This window comes from Homo sapiens, chromosome 11 (assembly GCF_000001405.40).
Source record: "Homo sapiens chromosome 11, GRCh38.p14 Primary Assembly".
Lineage (NCBI taxonomy): Eukaryota > Metazoa > Chordata > Mammalia > Primates > Hominidae > Homo > Homo sapiens.
Window position 1 is genome coordinate 108540135 of NC_000011.10, and position 20264 is coordinate 108560398.

Below are 20264 nucleotides of genomic sequence, written 5' to 3' on the forward strand. Positions count from 1 at the left end.
ACATGGAGAAACCCCGTCTCTACTAAAAATACAAAAAAATTAGCCAGGTGTGGTGGCGCACGCCTGTAATCCCAGCTACTCAGGAGGCTGAGGCAGGAGAATTGCTTGAACCCGGGAGGTAGAGGTTGCAATGACCTGAGATCATGCCACTACACTGCAGCCTGTGTGACAGAGTGAGACTCCATCTCAAAATAAATAAATAAATAAAATTAAACAAAATCCATAATATTATAATGATTTGGGACATGCTGACTTTATAAATATTAGGGGAATTTAGGACAAGGGAAAAGTCATCAGGGTATGTATGGGGGTGATCTAAAAAATCTGAACTGTGAGTCTTTTTACGTAGATATGTTTATTATGAGAGTTGCAAGATATTATCAACATAGAAGTTTAGAAGTATTTTTACATGTTTCATGATGTTACTAATGTTAATAACATGCAAAAATGCAGTCAATGTGACTCCGCGTCAGTAAAAAGATATTTTATTTTAGTATTTTATAGTTTCTAGTGCACTTTGGTTATCTTCTCAATAGTCCTGTGAAAGCAAGTTTTAGTATCCTTTTAATCTATATAGAAGGCATTTATTAGAAGTCATTCATGGAGTTTACCAAAGTTCCAGAAGTGTGGCAGCTCCTCCACCACCTTCCCTCCCTTCTCCTCTGATCTCTGATTCTCCCTTCCTCCACCCCTCCCCTTTTTCTTCCTCCCCCTGCATCATAGTCATCCCATTTATTTAAGTGCTTACCCTGTTCCAGCTTAATATTCTATTATTTTTTTTTTATTTGAGGTGCAGTCTTACCGCTGTTGCCCAGGCTGGAGTGCAGTGGCATGATCTCAGCTCACTGCAACCTCTGCCTCCCAGGCTCAAATGATCCTCCTGCCTCAGCCTCCAGAGTAGCTGGGGCTACAGGTGGGCACCACTATGTCCAGCTAATCTTTTATTTTTCTGTAGAGATGAGGTTTCGCCATGTTGCCCAGGCTCGTCTCAAACTCCTGAGCTTAAGTGATCCTCCTGCCTCTGCCTCCCAAAGTGCTGGGATTGCAAGTGTGAGCCACCCCCGACCCCCTGCCCAGCTTAATACATTATAAACATAATTTTACTTAATTCTCGTAACCACCTTATGAGGTGTAGGTATCATTGCATTCATTTAAAGATGAAGCAACTGAGGTTTACAGAGAATAAATGACTTGGACAGACTCGCATGAATAGAGACAGAGTAGAGATTTGAATCCAGGCCTCTGTTGACATCAGTGTCTATATTCCTACCCACTATGCTATCTTGCCTGATTCAAAAAAACCCAAAAAACAAAAAAAAATCCAAGACATTATTACAGTAAAATTTCAGTTCACTTTTTTTTTTTAGTGTATATTGTATTATAAACTTTTGTGGCTTATGACTTTAAAATAGTTCTAAACATGGATTGGTTACATTGGAGATCCACTGGGCCATTATCTACAATACTATGCCACAGAAACAAAGAAATCAACTTTAAATCTAAAATCTTTTTCTTACCATTTTTTGCCATCTCCTTACTTAGCCTGTATGTAAGTGGTTGTTTTAACATTTGGCTAACATCTGTTTCATTGCAAAACTTTTTTCTTTGAATTTCTTCAAACCATTCACCAGTCACTCCCTGAAGCCATCTGATATCCCTCTTTGTCTTCTGAAGTTTGCTGAAATAAAATAAAACATTAATGTGGTCTTTATTTATTTTCTTAACATCAAGCTCATCCTTAAATCAATGTACTTTTTTTTTGATATGGGGGTCTCATTCTGTCACCAGGCTGGAGTGCAGTGGCACAACCTCGTCTCACTGCAACCTTCACCTCCTGGGCTCAAGCGATCCTCCCACCTCAGCTTCCCAAGTAGCTGAGACCACAGACGCATACCACCACACCCAGCTAATTTTTTTCTATTTTTAGTAGAGATGGGGTTTCACCATGTTGCCCAGGCTGGTCTCGAACTCCTGAGCTCAAGCGATCTGCATGCCTCAGCCTCCCAAAGTGCTGGGATTACAGGAGTGAGCCACCTGGCCCAGCCTCAATGCACTCTTTAAATTCATTCACATCTAAAGCCAATCCATGTGATGGGCTAAACTTGACTTAATGGAGGAGCAGCATAATCTGTAAGTCTAGAAAAAAAATGGCTCTAATCAGAATTTCCCTTTCAACTATGCATGTATTTTAGGTGTATTCTTTTTTTTTTTTCTTTTTTAGTATTCTTGTAAATATGATGGCAAACTAAAAGTTTTTGCCAGTAGTTAAAATAATCATCAGGCTGATGAGGACAACCTGGATTAAGCAATGTGCTAAAACCTGACCTAATAATGCAATTAAATGATAGATGTTCTAATGACACGCAGAAACTAGAATATTCTCGTTCTGATTACTCATTCATTCACTTGTTAATTCATTAAATGTTTGTTGAACAATGTTAATCAATTTAGTGTTTATGAGGGCCCAGGTAGGCAATGGATTCAACAGTGAATGTAAAAAATAGGATACTTGCTTGTCCATCCAGTGGTCAAAGATAAAAGCTAACATGCAGAAAAGAAATTATTGAATGTAACAATCTTATTAATATTATCATTATTTTTTGAGACAGAGTCTCTCTCTGTCACCCAGGCTGGAGCGCAGTGGTGTAATCTTGGCTCACTGCAACCTCCGCCTCCCGAGTTCAAGTGATTCTCCTGCCTCAGCCTCCTGAGTAGCTGGGATTACAGGAGCCCGCCACCACACCTGGCTAGTTTCTGTATTTTTAGTAGAGACGGGGTTTTGCCATGTTGACCAGGCTGGTCTTGAACTCCTGACCTCTAGTGATCCCCCTGCCTTGACCTCCCAAAGTGCTGGGACTACAGGCATCAGCCACCGCACCCTGCAGAATATAATGGTCTTAGATAATGAACTTCTTTACACACAAAAACACAAAAGCCCATGAGTGAGCCCAGGTCTAATGCAAAGGTAGTAAGGGATGGGGTAATTTGAGACGGACAGAAAAGCCATGCAGCGCACAAATGTGTCTGCCCCATAATGTCAGAACATGTGGCCTGAAATCCTATTACTTTTTTTTCTTCTCTCCTCCCCTTTCCTGCCCAATTCTCTTTCAAATGAAAATGCTGCTTTAAGTTCTTAATTAAATCACTGGTTGTTGTGATTTATTAATACTTTTTTCAAAGTAGATCATTTTGCTCTATTTAAGGAAGACCCTAGAACTGTTTGGAAATGAGAGGTGCCTAATCCAGAGGGAGATGTTCCTGGATGGAGGCAAAATGAACAGAAAGTGGAGTTTGAAGAATGATGACAAGGCTTACAGTGTGGTTGTTTTTAGATACTGATGAAAAAGTTAGGCATGTTGTTGGGTTCCAACCTTGGGAGATTCTGCAGCTTGGAAAAGTATTCCGTGTGGCTCAGCAGCTGTTATCCTTTGTTCAGGGTCTGTCGTAAAGCACAAGTGTTAGGGTCTTTGTATTGCTAAGGGGGTGATGAGCAAGATATCTGTGAAGTGGCAGATTTGGAGTTAAAAGGCAATGAACTGAGATGGCTGCAACTCAGGCTCTTGCTTGGGGCTATGATACTGCTATTTTATAAAATATTCGAGAAAGAAGCCAGAGGTCACCCTGCCCAGACTTGCATTTTGCAAAGCACTAGACAGCAATCAACATGTTCAACTTACAGAATTTGCATTGGTGCCTCCTTTTTTGCCATTTCCACCCTCCGATGCGTGGTACTCCTGTCTTTGTTGCTACTTCATTTATTAACAGAGCAGACTCAGAGATCCTAAGTATCTGCTTCTAACCAATATTGGCTGCCTCTAACTTATGAATGCCTCACTTACTAATGCCCCACATTTGTACACAACCTCCACTTCCTTGGAGCCCTCGCTAATTGTCAGTTCCCCAAAAGCAGGCACCACCCTTTTCTGTTTCTGAAAACATCGGTCTCATTTCAGGAGACAGTCAAGCTACTTGACTTAGAAGTGTTCCATATAAACAACATTTTCCCCCGTACAGGCTTGATGTAATATTAACTCTCTTTTTACAATTTTTATTTATTTCTGCATTTATTTCTAGAGACAACGTCTCACTCTGTTGCCCAGACTGGAGTGCATTGGTTCAGTTATAGCTCACTGAAGCCTTGACCTCCTAGGCTCAAGTGATCCTCTGGCCTCAGCCTCCCCAGTAGCTGGGACCACCATCCCTGACTAATTTTTGTAAAGACAGAATCTCACTCTGTTGCCCAGGCTTGCCTTAAACTCCTGGCCTCAAGCGATCCTCCCACTTCAGCCCCTCAAATTGTTGAGATTACAAGCGTGAGCCACAATGCCGAGCCCTGACTCTCTTTTAAAAATAATCACAGTTCACTTAATCGTACCTCAAGCTTTCCTTCCACGGTTGTGTACATATCCACCACTGCCTGCTTCTTTTCTGTCTTCTGGCCAATGAAGCCAGAAATCTGTATTTCCCTGAAAGTACTCAAACACTTTGAATTCCACTCCAGGAAATTTATCTTACAGCAATAACCCCACCCCAAGAACATTAATTTAACTGAGCATCATGTAGTTGCTAACAATAATTATGTAGACAACATAGAATCCTGGGAAAATGCATATGACAAAACATGAAGCAGGAAAATGAAAATACAACATTTATCTATGATTATAGCTATGTAAAAATGATCCCCCTTTTGGGCACACACACACAAAAAATGGAAAACACCTGATGTTTTAGAGTAGAATAATTATAGGTATCATTTCTATTTTTAGCTTATTTTATTATTTTTCATTTCATTTTAGCTTTTTTATTATGTACAATATATGGAGCTATCTCTTCTTTTTGTTTGATTGTGAATTTTTATTTGTGTTGTCACTTTTCCATTATTTTTTTTTTGGAGACAGAAATCAGTAATATTATCATAATCTGAACACAGCCAATATTACTTTTTCAGTGTGATTTTTCTGCTGCATTTCTCACACAATTGTGATAAAATATATCCAGGCTGGGCATGGTGGCTCACACCAGTAATCCCAGCACTTCGGGAGGCCGAGGCAGGATGATTGCTTGAGTCCAGGAATTTGAGACCAACCTGGGCAACATGGTGAGACCCTGTCTCTACAAAAAATTTAAAAGTTAGCCAGGCGTGGTTGCTTGCACCTGTGGTCCTAGCTACGTGGGATGCTGAGGTATATATGTAATATTCAATATACGTTTGTGGAAGGCCGCCTATGGTGCAAATGCTGGCATACAATGGTAAGCAAAGCAGATAGGGCTCCCACCCTAGAGAGATTACAGTCTAGTGGGAGAGACAGATATGAATCCAATAACAATATTGATATAAGGTAACAAATAGTGATAAACATGACTTATTCACTCAGCACACATTTGAACCCTGGGCAAAGAGCAGTGAACAAGTCCCTGCCTTCATGGGATTTAAATTCTGCTGGGGTGGGAGTGTGTGTGGGGGGGAAACAATAAAAAAGTAAATAAGGCTGAGTGTGGTTGCTCTTGTCTGTAATCCCAGTGCTTTGGGAAGCAAGGTGGGAGGATCAATTGAGGCCAGGAGTGAGAGACCAGCCTGGCCAACATAGCGAAAACCCACTTCTACAAAAAATTTTAAAATTAGCCAGGTGTAGTGGTGTGCTCCTTTAGTCCCAACTGTTCAGGAGGCTGAGGCAGGAGGATCCCTTGAGCCCAGGAGTTGGAGGCTACAGTGACCTAGGATCATACCACTGCACTCCAGCCTGGGCAACAGAGTGAGATTTTGTCTAAAAAAAAAAACAACAGTAAATAGCTGCTAAGAGAGCATATAACAAGGGGACCTGGGCTGAGGCACCACCAGTGAAGATTTCTCTGAGATGACATAGGGCTGGAAGAATGAAGGATGAAGGATGAGGCCAAAGGGTCGTGGCAGAAGGGTCTGAGAGAGAGCTTTCCAGGCAGAGGGGTAGCCTCTGTAGAGCAACAAGTGCCCCAAGGGAAGAAGCAAGGAACAGAAATAAGGCCTGTGTAGCTGGAGTGTGGAGATGGAGAGAAAGCCCAAGACAAGCAGAGAGGCCACTGTTAGATAACGTAGCATTAGGCGTAGGGTTCTGCAATTTGGTGTTTGGTCATGGAGCAATGATTGATGGCTCAGCAGGGATAAGACCCGTTGGATTTGCATTTTAGAAGATCATCCTAGCTGCAGGTGGAGAGTAGATTCCAGTGCGGGGCAGGAGACCAGTCAGGACACTTGTAGGGTCTAAAGAAAGAGGTGTTTGCTGGACCAGGATGGTAGTGGGGAAGCTGGAGAAAAGTGGAAAGTGTTCAGGGTGACTTAAGGTGAAAAGTGACCCCCAGGTGATGTGTTTTGGGGAGTAGGGGTAGAGACACATCAAAGAAGATTCCAAGACTTCTGATTTACATAAGTGCCTAGAAGGTGCCACTTACAGATATCATGCATACATAATCTTTAAAAACCCAAAAGTTAGCACTGCAAAAACTTAACATTACCAAAACTTTAATAACACCTTTAACATCACTCATCTTCAGAGCAATCATTAAGTATTTGCATAATATTCAAGCTAGTATGTTTTTCTTCCTTTATTTATTACTCTCCTAATCCAGGACATTGAGATTTTTCTTTATAAATACTGCTTTAAAAATACTTTATAAATACTGCTGTAATAAATATCATTGTGCATTTTCTATTATTTTTTTTTTTTTCTGTCACCCAGGCTGGAGTACAGTGGCACAATCTCGGCTCACTGCAACCTCCGTCTCCCAGGTTCAAGTGATTCTCCTGCCTCAGCCTCCTGAGTAGCTGGGACTACAGGCACGTGCCACCACGCCCAGCTAATTTTTGTATTTTTAGTAGAGACGGGGTTTCACCATATTGGCCAGGCTAGTCTTGAACTCCTGACCTCGTGATCCACCTCCCTCGGCCTCCCAAAATGCTGGGATTATAGGTGTGAGCCACTGCGCCTGGCCATGCATTTTCTATTTTTACAGTGCCTCTGCCAGACACTAAAGTAGAATGATTGGGTCAAAGAGTCAAAACATTTTTGTGATTTTTTTTAAAGTTAAATTTTATTTTTTCTAGAGACAGGGTCTCACTCTGTTTTCCAGGCTGGAGTGCAGTGGTGCTATCATAGCTCACTGCAGCCTCAAACTCCTGGGTTCAAATGATCCTCCTGCCTCAGCCTCCTGAGTAGCTAGGACTACAGTTGCACGCTACTATGCCCAGCTAATATTTTTATTTTTTGTAGAGATGGAGATCTCTACAAAAGTAGAGAGGTCTCACTCTGTTGCCCAGGCTGGTCTCTCACTCTTGGCCTCAAGTGATCCTCCCACCTTGGCCTCCCAAAGTGCTGGGATTACAGGCATGAACCACGGAGCACAGCCCTTTTTGTCATTCTTTATACATACTACCAAAATAACTGTACCAATATCACTTATGCCAGCAATGTACAAGTCTGCCACTAGGCATCCTTGGAAGACAAGGTATTATTATTTCAAGTATTTTTATTTTTCTAATATTTTGGTGTTACTATTTATAATTGTTAGTAATTATTTTTAAGAATCTTTCTTTGTTTAATAAAATATGTTACATTTCTTTGATAAGAGGAAGGTTTGAACCCTTCCCTTATGTTTGTTTAGTAATTATACTTTGTGACTTGGCAATTGAGCGTTTCGTCAATTTTTAAATCAGTGTCTTGGCTGGGCGCAGTAGCTCATGCCTGTAATCCCAGCACTTTGGGAGGCCAAGGCAGGTGGATCACCTGAGGTCAGTAGTTCAAGACCAGCCTGGCCAACATGGCGAAACACCATCTCTACTAAAAATACAAAATTAGCTGGGCTTGGTGGCGGGTGCCTGTAATCCCAGCTACTGAGGAGGCTGAGGCAGAAGAATCACTTAAACCCAGGAGGCGGAGGTTGCAGTGAGCCGAGATTGCACCACTGCACTCCAGCCTGGGCGACAGAGTGACACTTCATCTTTAAAAAAAAAAAAAAAAAAAAAAAAAAATCAGTGTCTCAGAGTTCTTTACTGGAATAAGAAATGTTTAATTTAAAAACCAGCTCATTTTTCTTATGTGTTTTAAATAAGAAAGTTTTTGACTTTTTTTTCTTTTTTTTGTTATCTTATTGTGATGAGATTGACTTTCATTTTGATTAAATTTTGAATGCTGAGCTGTACAAACCTGACTCTGGCTAAGGCTGTTGGAAGTAAAACATAAATAATCCATGGATATGTTTATGTTAGTATTTGTTTCCTGAAGATAGTGAGAAATGAAATTCAGACAGTAGTGTCATGCAGATACATGAAGGGGGCAAGATTTTGAAGAAATTCAAATATTTTTAAAGCAGAAATATTTTAAGGATAACTCTGGAGATGGCTGTCAGGAAAGTGATGAACAGGTACAGTCATCAGCCAGAATATTCAAGGTTCAGGTAGTCGATAATGGCATTATGTTTACTATTACCAAGGAAGCAACACAGAAATAGTTTTGACCTTTGATGTAAGGGTGACCCAGGAAGGGAAACGATGACATAAAAGTCTAAATTCAAACTCTCTGGGTACGTGTAATTCATCTTCTTAACCCTACACACCCAAGAGCCCTATGAAGTATAGTTTGTACATTGACAATGGTTAACTGAGCTTCTGGTACTAAAAGGAGCAAAACAATTATAAAATCAGTGGTCTAGATTCATTCATTTACTTAAAAAAACTATCAAATACACTCAACATTAGCAAGTAAGAAAAAATTCTAAACATAAAGTGGAAGTGTGGTGACAAAACTTGAGGACAGTACTTTCTATTTCCACTAGCCTCAGTTTGACAAAGATAACATTTGTTTGTAAACAGAATTCAACCAACTTCATAACCAGCCTGCACAACGCTCTTCCTCTTCCATGTGGGCTTGTTATATGTTCAGCACCAACTGGGATGTACCATCCACTTTATGCCAATGAGAACCTCAGGGTTGAGAATGACATACATACAGGGAAATTACTAATACACAGCTTGCTTGCTTAATTAGTCCAGCTTGACTCAACATATCACAAGGGACTGTTGTCTACACTTCTAATTTGTTTTACCCTGAGGCTGATCAACTTGATTAAACTAAATCAGGTCTTTTCTTGCTAGGCCAGAGGCCCAGCCCTCTGTTCCAAGTCAAAATGTCCTTTCTTCATTCACATGAATCCGTCTGTGAAATGCTGCCTTGGATTTCATCCTAGCACCTCTGGAACACACCACTCCTCTTATGTTCCGATTCCTGAGTTAAACTTATTTTTCCTTTATTTCCAGCCTTGAGTTATGACACCCACCTCCCCCTCCTCTTCTTTGTCTTTCCCAACTTAGTCCTTGCTGACCTTTGCTTGTCACTTTTGTTTGACTTTATTCTGAGCAAGGCTTTGTGCCCATCTTTTCTCCAGGACAAATTAATTATGTACTAACCATTTAGAACGTGCTCAGTAAATGATAGCTGTCCATTTATCTCCCGGTCATTGTGTGTAAGTAATCCTTTGGCCCCACTTATCTGCTCCTTGTTAATGATACCCTCCCTGGCCCATTCTTGAGTTACTATCAGGTAGGAGACAGAGCCCAGGAGTAGTGTCAGGTTCTAGCTGGGTGATCTTGGCCAAATATTTAACTTTCTTGGTTTTTCTTTCCCCACTTGTCAAAGAGGAATAAATGATGTGTAGATTGTTTGCAAAGAATTCCTCCACAATTCCCATCATTCCTGGAGGTACACTCCTTGGCAATGTGACTTTTTGCCACTCTTAGGAGGTGGGGTCTCTTTTACCTCTTTCCTAGTGGTTGTAAGGAAAGTGGATGAACAGGTACAGTCAACAGCTGGAAAATTCAAGGTTCGGGTAGTCAGTGATGGCATTGTGTTTACTATTACCAAGGAAGCAAAACAGAAATAGTTCTGGCCTTTGAAGTAAGACTGAGCCAGGACAACTACTGTTAAGAGGCACCTCCTTTCACCTCCTCCTGGAATCTGGGCCAGACTTGCACTTGCTAAGACCAATAGAATATGGTGGAAGTGAAACTGAGACTTCTGAGTCCAGGCCTCAATGGATCTTATAGCTTCTGCTCTCTTCCTCTTGGGATCTTGAGACTTCTGTATAAGGAAGCTTGGGTTAGTCTCCTTGAGGATGAGACCATACACAGAAAGAGGCCTGGCAGAGAGCCATTGCCAACTACCCAACATGTGGGTGAAGGCATCTTAGACCATCCAGACCCAGCCAAGCTGTCATAGTGGTGCCCAATGAGTGATCCCCGGCAACCCACCCAGCTGAGCCCAGACCAAATGGCTAGCCCACGGAATGGTAAGCTAATAAACAGAAGTAGTTTTAAGCCTTTAAATTTTGGGGTGAGACTGGGAGCAGTGGCTCACATCTGAAATCCCATCACTTTGGGAGACCGAGGCAGACGGATCATTTGAGGCCAGGAGTTCGAGACCAGCCTAGCTAACATGGAGAAATGCTGTCTCTACTAAAAATATAAAAATTAGCTGGGCGTGGTGGTGCATGCTTGTAATCCCAGCTACTCGGGAGGCTGAGGCAGGAGAATTGCTTGAACCTGGGAGGCAGAGGTTGCAGTGAGCCAAGATTATGCCACTGCACTCCAGCCTGGGCAACAGAGTGAGACTTCGTCTCAAAAAATAAATAAATAAATAAATAAAAAATAAAAATAAAATTTGGGGTGGTTCGTTATGTACAAATTGAAAAAAACATGGATACAGATGAGGTTATCTTGAAGACATCTTCCAGTCTAAAATCTATGGTCAGAAAAGCCTCAACATTCCTACATCACATCCAAATCATTGGGAAATCTTATAAAGCCGAAAGAGGTCTCCAGATATAATCTGGCCAAACACCCTGTCTTCGGGTGAAATCATACCAATAAAAAATAATAACCGATGATATGAACTGAGCTCTTGCCATCTGCCGGATTTTGCAGTTCTTATTGCCAATCCTCACCCTAACACTGCTCCAGCATCGTCCTCATTTACAGAGAGGACATGGAAGTTCTGCTGGAGCTGCCGAACTGAGACGCGAACCCACACGCCTCTGAGTCTAAAACCCATGTTCTCCTAACCGTGTATCTCATTGTCTGTGGGTATTATTAACCCCACTAAGAAACAATGCAATTGATACAAACTTACAGTGACTTTTGCCAATTAAACAGGCAGTAATGAGAATTCAAATATGATTGAAGAGAGAGCAGTTATGCAAGTTTGAAAACAAACAATTCCCTAAGCCAGGAATAGCTTCCATTTTCTTGTCAGAAAAATCTCAAATGTTTCTCAGAATAGTTCCCTTTATCAGCTCCTCTTGCCAAAGGCATCCATTCCTCTTTTTGATGTTCTCACTTCTCTGTTTATCTCCTCTCTGACATCTCTGACATTTCTCCTTCACTTTTCTTACTCCCTTGCTTCTGTATACACATTGTTTTTTTTCTTTTACAGCTGATCTTCGCGGACCTGACCGTCTTGTTACACCTCGTTCTCCTTCCAGGCAGCTAAGCACCCCAATCTCTGTCAACCCTCCACTCCTTAAGGACATCTTGCCAAATAGTCCCTTGATCTCCTACAAGTTCAGCCATCAGCCAACCCCAGAATGAAGTTTCCAATTACATCAAATCCTGTGAAAGTGACTTTGTCCTTTGATTTGCAGATCAAAGCAGTATTAAAGTTTTCCTCCCACGCAGGAATCCAAACATAATTTTGTCATATTGCCCAGCAACCACAACACAAGGAAAAGCACAAATGGAGAGGATGGGGCAGGAACTGTATCCCGAGTCAGAGCTTAAACGTCGGGCCAGTGTCATAATGGAAGACGGATCAGGATGTCCAAGCAAGAGCCTTTTCCAAACCCTGAAGCCCCAAGAGACTCACCATCTGGGGAAAGTGTGGCCTTTTGTTCTCCTACTTTAGAAAGGCGATACTTCCAGGTAATAGGTTTCTTATCACTCACCCTCCAGGGAAAGCTTTAAAACAACTGTTGTGTGTTCCCAATCAGAAAGAGGCAGAGTGAAGGAAGAGAAAGCCCTGTGGTTCAGTGGCTGCACCAGTAGCTTTATCATCCGGGGCCTGGTCTCTCTCCCTGTTGATCTTCTGAAAAGATTGTTATTTGAGAGCCTTTGTCGCTGACATCAGAGCCTGCTCTTTGGTTCAGCCCACGGCCAAGACTCAGGGAGGGGCAAGGATTAGAAAAAGCAAGCAAGTATATTGAAAAATGTGTTCTTTTCATAAGGGTAAAGTTAAATCATACACGGAAGTCTGAAGGAAGGGAAGCTCAGATAAGGAAAAGTGGTAAACTTTATAAAGTAAGCAAGCAACAACAACAGTAACAGCAACAGCCCTTTAGGACTCAAAGAGAGGCAACAAAATAATGGCACCAGCTTTTAAGCCAAGCTGGATAATAAAGCCCACTTCAACTCCGTGAATGGCTGTGATAGAGACTGCCTACTCTACGATAAAAAGCAATATTTTCTGTATTTAAAAAATTGACCATTGTATGGTAGCTCATGTCTGTAATCCCAGAGCCTTTGGGAGGCCAAGGTGGAAGGATTACTTGAGCCCAGGAGTTTGAGACCAGCAACGTACTGAGACTCCGTCTCTACAAAAAACCCCAAACAAACAAAACTAGCTGGGCTTGCTAGTGTGTGCCTGTAATCCCAACTATTCAAGAGACTGAGGTGGGAGAATCTGAGCTCAGGAGGTCAAGGCTGCAGTGAGCTGAGATCCTGCCACTGCAATCCAGCCTGGGTGAAAGAAAAGAAGAAAAAAGGCCGGGTGCGGTGGCTCATGCCTGTAATCCTAGCACTTTGGGAGACCGAGGTGGGTGGATTACTTGAGGACAGGAGTTTGAAACCAGCCTGGCCAACATGGTGAAAGCCTGTCTCTACAAAAAATACAAAAAAATTAGCCATGTGTAATGGCAGGTGCCTGTAATCCCAGCTACCTGGGGAGGCTGAGGCAGGAGAATCGCTTGAACTGGGGAGGCAGAGGTTGCAGTGAGCCGAGATCATGCCACTGCACTCCAGCTTGGGCGACAGAGTGAGACTCTATCTAAAAAAAATAAAATAAAATAAATTGACCATTGTAACCCTTCTGGATGTTTCTTTTACAAAACACAAACTCACAACAGAAGGAAAAGGTAAGTTATCTAAGTAACAATAAGGATGTGTAATTACCATCTGGTTCAGATCACAGTGCCCTTGGTCTCTCACCAATAGTCACCCTTTACCAATAGTCACCCTCAAGAAGGTGCTGTAGAAAAGACTTGCTGTCCACCCTGAGGTCAGACTTAGGGTTTAAGTGTCAGTCCCTCTTGTAGCTCATCAGAGCTCTTCTGTTTTCCTAGGTTTACATGATCCCTTTTTGAATGTATACCTTTTACCTGAGCCAGCTTGGAAATCACCCACTGTAACTTCTGTATTTACCAAATTACACTGAATAACTTGTCATGTGCCTATTTGGTTGTGTCACCAGGCTGTCAGCTCCTTGAGGACAGGTGCTGTGTCTCATTTGTTTTGGTATCCCCAGGGCCTAGCATAGTCCCAGACTCATGGTCGATCAACATATATTTGCTCAATCTAGGGGATAATAAATGAGTTCTACCAACTTATTCTGCCATCATTGCGAAGCAGTTCAGTTGCTATTTGACATAAGTGCAAGATGTGATCCTGTACACAAATTAAAATCATGTGTGTAAAAAGTAATTTTTCCATAGGAATAATACTGGAAAGCTAATCATAGCTAACAGTTACAGAGTGCTTGCCCTGGGCCAGGCACGTTACACGTATTAACTAATTTAATCTTCACAAGAACCCTTATGAAGGTAGATAATATTATCCCTATTTTACCAATGAAGAAATTAAAATACTGAGAGGCTAAATTGAAATCAGACTTCCTGGGATGAATGTGGCCCCTGACCTTTTTTTTTTTTTTTTTGGTGACAGGGTCTTGCTCTGTTGCACAGGCTGGAGTGCAGTGGTGTGATCTCAGCTCACTGCAACCTCTGCCTCCTGGGTTCAAGTGATTCTCCTGCCTCAGCCTCCTGAGTAGCTGGGATTACAGGCATGTGCCACCACGCCCAGCTAATTTTTGTAGAGATGGTGTTTCGCCATGTTGGCCAGGCTGGTCTTGAACTCCTGGCCTCAAGTGATCCTCCCGCCTCAGCCTCCCAAAGTGCTGGGATTACAGATGTGAGCCACCATGCCCAGCCGCCCTGAACTTTATTAACTGGGTGTGATTTTAACCTCTCTGTGCCTTAGTTTGCACATTTGTAAAGTGGGGATAAGAGTAATAATATCTCCTGGAGCTTTTGTGAGGACTACTGGAGTTAATGCATGTAATGCATGTTCCTGGAACAAATGAAACACTGTCATTGTGACCTGTGAAATGTGCAGGATGGGTGGTAAAGGTGGTGGAGGGATAATGGGGTTGGGGGTGGGAATTATGTATCACCACTCCCAACACAAAAGAGATCTATGGTAGTAAAGAGAATCATGGCCAGGCACAGTGGCTCGGGCCTGTAATCCCAGCACTTAGGGAGGCCAAGGTAGGTGAATCACTTGATGTCAGGAGTTTGAGACTGGCTTGGCCAACATGGTGAAACCCCCTATCTACTAAAGATACAAAAAAATTAGCCGGGCGTGGTGGCGCACTCCTGTAGTCCCAGGTACTTGGCTGGCTGAGGCAGGAGAATCACTTGAAGCCAACAGGCAGAGGTTGCAGTGAGCCAAGATCGTGCCACTGCACTCCAGCCTTGGGTGACAGAGTGAGACCCTGTCTCCCCCCGGCCTCCAAAAAAGAGAGGGAATCATCCTCAGATTTCCTTATCCTGTAAAGAAACTCAAAAGCATCAGCTATTTGGCAAACGCCCAACAGATCCACTCCCAGATTTCTATGTCGTACTTAAATCACAGCATGATCATGAGAAAAGAAACTGCAGGGCAGATGTTCACAAACACAGCTTAGATGGCAAGCTCAAGACAAGAGGAGTGCACTGGGCAAGGCTCCGCCTGTCATCACCCGGCTAGCTCTCACACTGCACTGAATGCACTGGCTGATGCCATGGTTTAGGCCACATAATTGCAAGAATATTGCATGTACTTTATTAAAATGTCTAAAAACACATACTATTCCAAATCTGAATAAGGCATACTATTCCAGCATACATGAATAGCTTATACTTTTATTTATCTTAAACCTGGATTCTAGTCTAATTTCAGAAAATAACCATTTATTGATTCAACTAACATTTATTGAGCATTTACTATATATCATACACTGTTCTAGCAGCTTGGAATACATTAGTGTACAAAAGAGACAAAGATTCTCACCTTTCTGGAGCTTGCAGTCTAGCAAGTATCTCCATAGCCACCTCCCTGGCCCAAGTCACCACCATCTTTCACCTGGATGTCTGCAGGAGCCCTGACATGGTTTGGTTGTGTCCCCACCCAAAATCTCATCTTGAATTGTATTCTGAATTGTAATCCCCACGTGTTGGGGGTGGGACCTCGTGGGAGGTGATTAGATCATGGGGGCGGTTTCCCTATGCTGTTCTCATGATAGTGAATGAGTTCTCAGGAGATCTTATGGTTTTATAAGGGGTTTATCTCACTTCACTCGGCACTTCTCTCTCCTGCCGCCATGTGAAAAAGGATGTGTTTGCTTTCCCTTCCCATTATATTTGTAAGTTTCCTGAGGCCTCCCCAGCCATGCGTAACTGTGAGTCAATCAAATCTCTTTCCTTTATAAATTACCCAGTCTCAGGTATGCTTTCATAGCAGCGTGAGAACGGACGTATACAAGCCCCTATCTGTCTCCCTGCTTCACTCTGGCTCCCCTTCCATCCAGGCTCCATACAGGAGCAAGAGCGATGGCCAAAGAACAAAATTCCAACAAAATGAGTTTTAAAGATCTAATTGGCATTTATTAGTGATTCATGAATTGAGTAGCATCTTGCCTGGCAGAACAATGGGTTTTTACAAGATAGCTTGAGCAGGAACAATAAAGCAGCATAATACAAAAAAGTGGACTGATTAACATCAGGCTACCTCAGGATACTTTCCTTGTAAGGGTTAAAGCAGGGGAACCTTCCTTATCATGCGGGTGTTGCCTGGGCCCTTTGCGATTAGTTGTGAATCTGCTGTCTTTTTTTTTTTTGGAAAAGCTGGACTGTTTGGGGATTTGCCTGTTTTTGTTTTTTAAGTTTCAGTTTGATCATGTGGCACTTAAGAGTGTTTCCATTTTGGTGTGATCTATTGGGACCTACTACAGGAGAAGGTCAGTACCAGACAGTGGCATCCCATCAATTTTATTTTTTGTTTTGTTTTGTTTTGTTTTTGTTTGTTTTGAGATGGAGTCTTGCTCTGTCACCTAGACTGGAGTGCAGTGGCCCAATCTTGGCTCACCGCAACCTCTGCCTCCTAGGTTCAAGCGATTCTCCTGCCTCAGCCTCCCGAGTAGCTGGGATTACAGTAGGCATGCACAACCACGCCCAGCTAATTTTGTATTTTTAGTAGAGATGGGGTTTTGCCATGTTGGCCAGGCTGGTCTCGAACTCCTGGCCTCAAGTGATCTGCCTGCCTTGGCCTCCCAAAGTGCTGGGGTTACAGGCTGAGTCATCAGGCCTGGCCCCCATCAATTTTATTGAACATGATTTTTTGTAAATGTAAGATATATCATGCCATCCCCTGCTTAAATCCCTCCAGCAGCTTCTCATCATGCTTAGAATACAATGTTAAACTCTGTGGTCTTCAAGGCTGCATAGTGTCTGACCTTCTGCCTTTTCTACCACTTTTAATCACTCCTCTTTCCTCTCCACTCAGCATTTGGCTTCTTTTTTCCCTCTTAACAGGCCAAGCTGGCTCCCACTGGGCTTCAGACTTGTTCCCTCCATCTGAAATGCTCTTCCCTATTTTGTCACATGGCTATGCCTTTGTGCCATTTAGGCCTTAGCTAAAATGTCACATCTTTAGAGAGGCCCTCTGGCCCTCCAAAATAGATTATTCCTTCTCCCATATTCAGTTACTTTCTATCAAGTTACTTGGTTTACTTTTCTTTTTTTTGTTTGTTTGTTTGCTTGTTTTGAGATGGAGTCTTGTTCTGTCACCCAGGCTGGAGTGTTTCCAGAAAACAAGACAGACAATGTCCTCATGCTTGTAGATTGTATTTTAATGGGGTACAAGAGATATAATCAATAAGAAAGTAAATAAGTGAAGAAATTTCAAAAGAAGATTAACAAGATTAAGAAAAGAAAAGTAAACCATGATCTCGGCTGATTGCAACCTCCGCCTCCTGGGTTCAGGGAATTCTCGTGTCTCAGCCTCCCTAGCATAGCTGGGATTCCAGGCGCCTGCCACCACATCTGGCTAATTATTTTGTAATTTTAGTGGATACGGGGTTTTGGCATCTTGGCCAGGCTGGTCTTGAACTCCTGACCTCAAGTGATTCGTTCTCCTCAGCCTCCCGAAGTGCTGGGATTACAGGCACGAGCCACTGCGCCTGGCCCTGGTTTACTTTTCTTAATCCTGTTAATCTTCTTTTGAAATTATCCTCTTCACTTATTTACTTTCTTATTGATTATATCTCTTGTAGCCCATTAAAACATAAACTACAAGCATGAGGACGTTGCCTGTGTTGTTTTCTGGAAAGATGTCTGACTTAGGGTATGGACTCAGTTAGCTCTTGGTGAACAAGTTAATGAATATGAGTTTGGGAAATTCCCTTTTCTCTGGACCTGCATTTCTTCACCCACAAAATTAGGGGGTTGAACTAGAGGCTATCAAGGATGCTTTCCCACTTTTTATTTTTTATTTTTTTTGAGATGGAGTCTCACTCTGTCACCCAGGCTGGGGTGCAGTGGCATAATCTCAGCTCACTGCAACCTCTGCCTCCCAGGCTCAAGCAATTCTCCTGCTTCGGCCTCCTGAGTAGCTGGGAATACAGGTGCCCACCACCATATCCAGCTAATTTTTGTATTTTTAATAGAGATGGGGTTTCACCATGTTGTCCAGGCTGGTCTTGAACTCCTGACCTCAAGTGATCCCCTTGCCTCAGACTCTCAGAGTGCTTGGATTACAGGTGTCAGCCACTGCGCCCAGCTCCCACTTTTTAAACTTTATTTTATTTTATTACAGACAGGGTCTCACTATGTTGCCCTGGCTAGCCTTGAACCTCCAAGCTCAAGCTATCCTCTGCCTTAGCCTCCCAAGTAGCTGGGACTACAGGCACATGCCATCGCATCAGACTTCCCACTTTTTGTGATTCTAAGTACACTTTTGCTAAGGTTGCAAAGGGTATGCCCCACTATTTAAGAATGTGGTCAACAAGTCCATGTTTAGCTCAGATCTCATGGTTTCTAACTCTGTCTCCCTTGGGCCTCTGTATTTCAGCCTGGGAAGTCCCAGTCTGGTATATTGTCCTCTTGTGTCTGCTGTCCTTTCTTTCACTTTCTTTGAACTTTCTGTTGCTCCTGTCTGGATCCATTACATGATTAAAATGAAATGAACAGAAAAGGACACATGATTCCAGATTCCAACTGACAATAACTTTATAGAAAATGAAGGCAATATTTGGTATCATTTCTAGTACCTTCATGCTGCTGCTGAAGGTGATGGGAACCTGCACACTGTAAACATATATTGTTTCTGGAGGCGGAAAGTTTACACTGGTAAACACACTTCATGTGACAGCTATGATGCTGGGCGCTTCCACCTAGATTATTTCATTTAATCACTACAGGAATCCAGTGAAGTAGGTATTGTACTCATTTTACAGTAAAAGGAGCTGAAGTCACGAAAGGTGAAAACACTTGCCAGAGGTTGTAAAGTGGTGAGTGAAAGAATTAAGCTTGTACCTAGCTCAGACCCCCCTCACCCCACCAGCATGATGATAATCGTTGAGTAAGAACAGTTATTTCCAGATTATTTCCAGGAGCCTGATTTATTCAACCCATGCCTAGAATAAACCTCCTCTCTTGAGTCTCTGTACTTTTTTTGCATGCTGGTTGTCTCATCACTGGATTGTCAGCTCCCCAAGTCAAGTGTCGATTTCCTGAACACACAGCAAGCAGGGAAGAAATATTTGTTGAATAACCGAAAAAATGAATACAAGAGAATGAAAAACTAGATTTTAGCTTTTGCGTCCCTCTTATTCCCCTTTATACAGATGCTCAGACATCTTCCACTGAAACTTGTAGGACAAGGGTTAATGGCAAGTTGAGTGTCAGGATTCTAAAAGTGCAAGAAAGCTGCTCGGAGCTGCAGAATGGGGACATAAATGCCTCTTGCAAGTCTGGTATACTAGCACAGCTGCAAAGCAGGTTAGAACCATGAAGGTTTTCATCCATAGACAGAGTGTATGATCTCAACGTCTTGAATTTGTTAATTATATTGTTCATGGCTTCTTTCCAAAGACAACTACATCCTTAATTCTGACCACATCCTCTGCACTGCTAGTTATGTAGAGTTAGGTAACAAGATAGAATGGTACACATGAATATGCATCTCTCCTTCATTTTCATTAATAAGAATGCAGAACATCTTTTTTTCCCCTCATATTCAGGCAATTTAATTCTTATTCTTGGAATCTGTCTTGTTAGGAAAAGAAGACAGAAAGAGCAGCCTATGCTATTTCATAAAGTTAAAGGAAAGTGATGCTCCTATAGATCCCTTCTGTGTCTAAGCAAAAAGGTGACAAGATGACATTACTTTCACTTCTCATACTGTAATTAAAATCCACTATTATTGCATTCAACTTAATTCACCCTTTGTATCATGCAGTTTTAAGGGTGTTGGGAAACCAACTCAAATCCAACATTCTGGACTTTGCTTTAACTTTAAGGAATTTAATGTTGCAATATGAGACTCTCACCACCCTCCTTCCCACCCTACCCACACACACTAGTCAAATATGCAAGCCAGACGAAAGAACGATAGATCTCAAATAGCTATTCAATCTTTGTGTTAGGATGCAGAAAGCTGAGGAAATGCCTGGAGGTTTTCTAAATGTCAGCACCATGAATCTACTGCTCTTGGTTCCCATCAGGGATAGTGGAGGTTCAGAGAGTCCATGACTCTCAAACCACATCTGCTTCAGGATTCCCTCACTGGGTCAAAGGAAGCTTGTTGTTGACATCAGTTAAAGCTCATTGGTTTGGATTACAGTTTACTTATTTTCAAAGAGTTAACTTTTGAAATAACCCTTTTCCACATGATTGCTGCCTTTTCCAATTCCTCTCTGGCAAACAAACCCGCCTTA

General features: G+C 42.3%; 1 protein-coding gene across 19 annotated transcripts in view, besides 1 other annotated feature; it reads right to left on the minus strand.

Moving 5' to 3' along the window:
* The window catches only part of EXPH5 (exophilin 5), a 102102-nt gene that overhangs the window by 34700 nt on the left and 47138 nt on the right, over window positions 1–20264 (minus strand). For 8 of the 19 annotated variants that reach the window (XM_017017398.2, XM_017017397.2, NM_001441060.1 and 5 more), the window contains one exon: window positions 1518–1678. In XM_017017398.2, coding sequence (XP_016872887.2) covers window positions 1518–1678 — 161 coding nt within the window. Of the gene's footprint in view, window positions 1–1517; window positions 1679–3315; window positions 3440–11885; window positions 12096–20264 lie in introns of those variants that run through there. The other 11 variants (NM_001441070.1, NM_001441075.1, NM_001441061.1 and 8 more) reach the window with 5 other exon arrangements.
* Window positions 16478–16651: a silencer, noted in NCBI's record as "fragment chr11:108427339-108427512 (GRCh37/hg19 assembly coordinates)". NCBI's record gives its function as "represses an EF-1alpha promoter that drives an FKBP-Casp9 reporter gene in an ReSE screen in K562 erythroleukemia cells {active_cell/tissue: K562}" and the evidence as "EXISTENCE:reporter gene assay evidence [ECO:0000049][PMID:32094911]".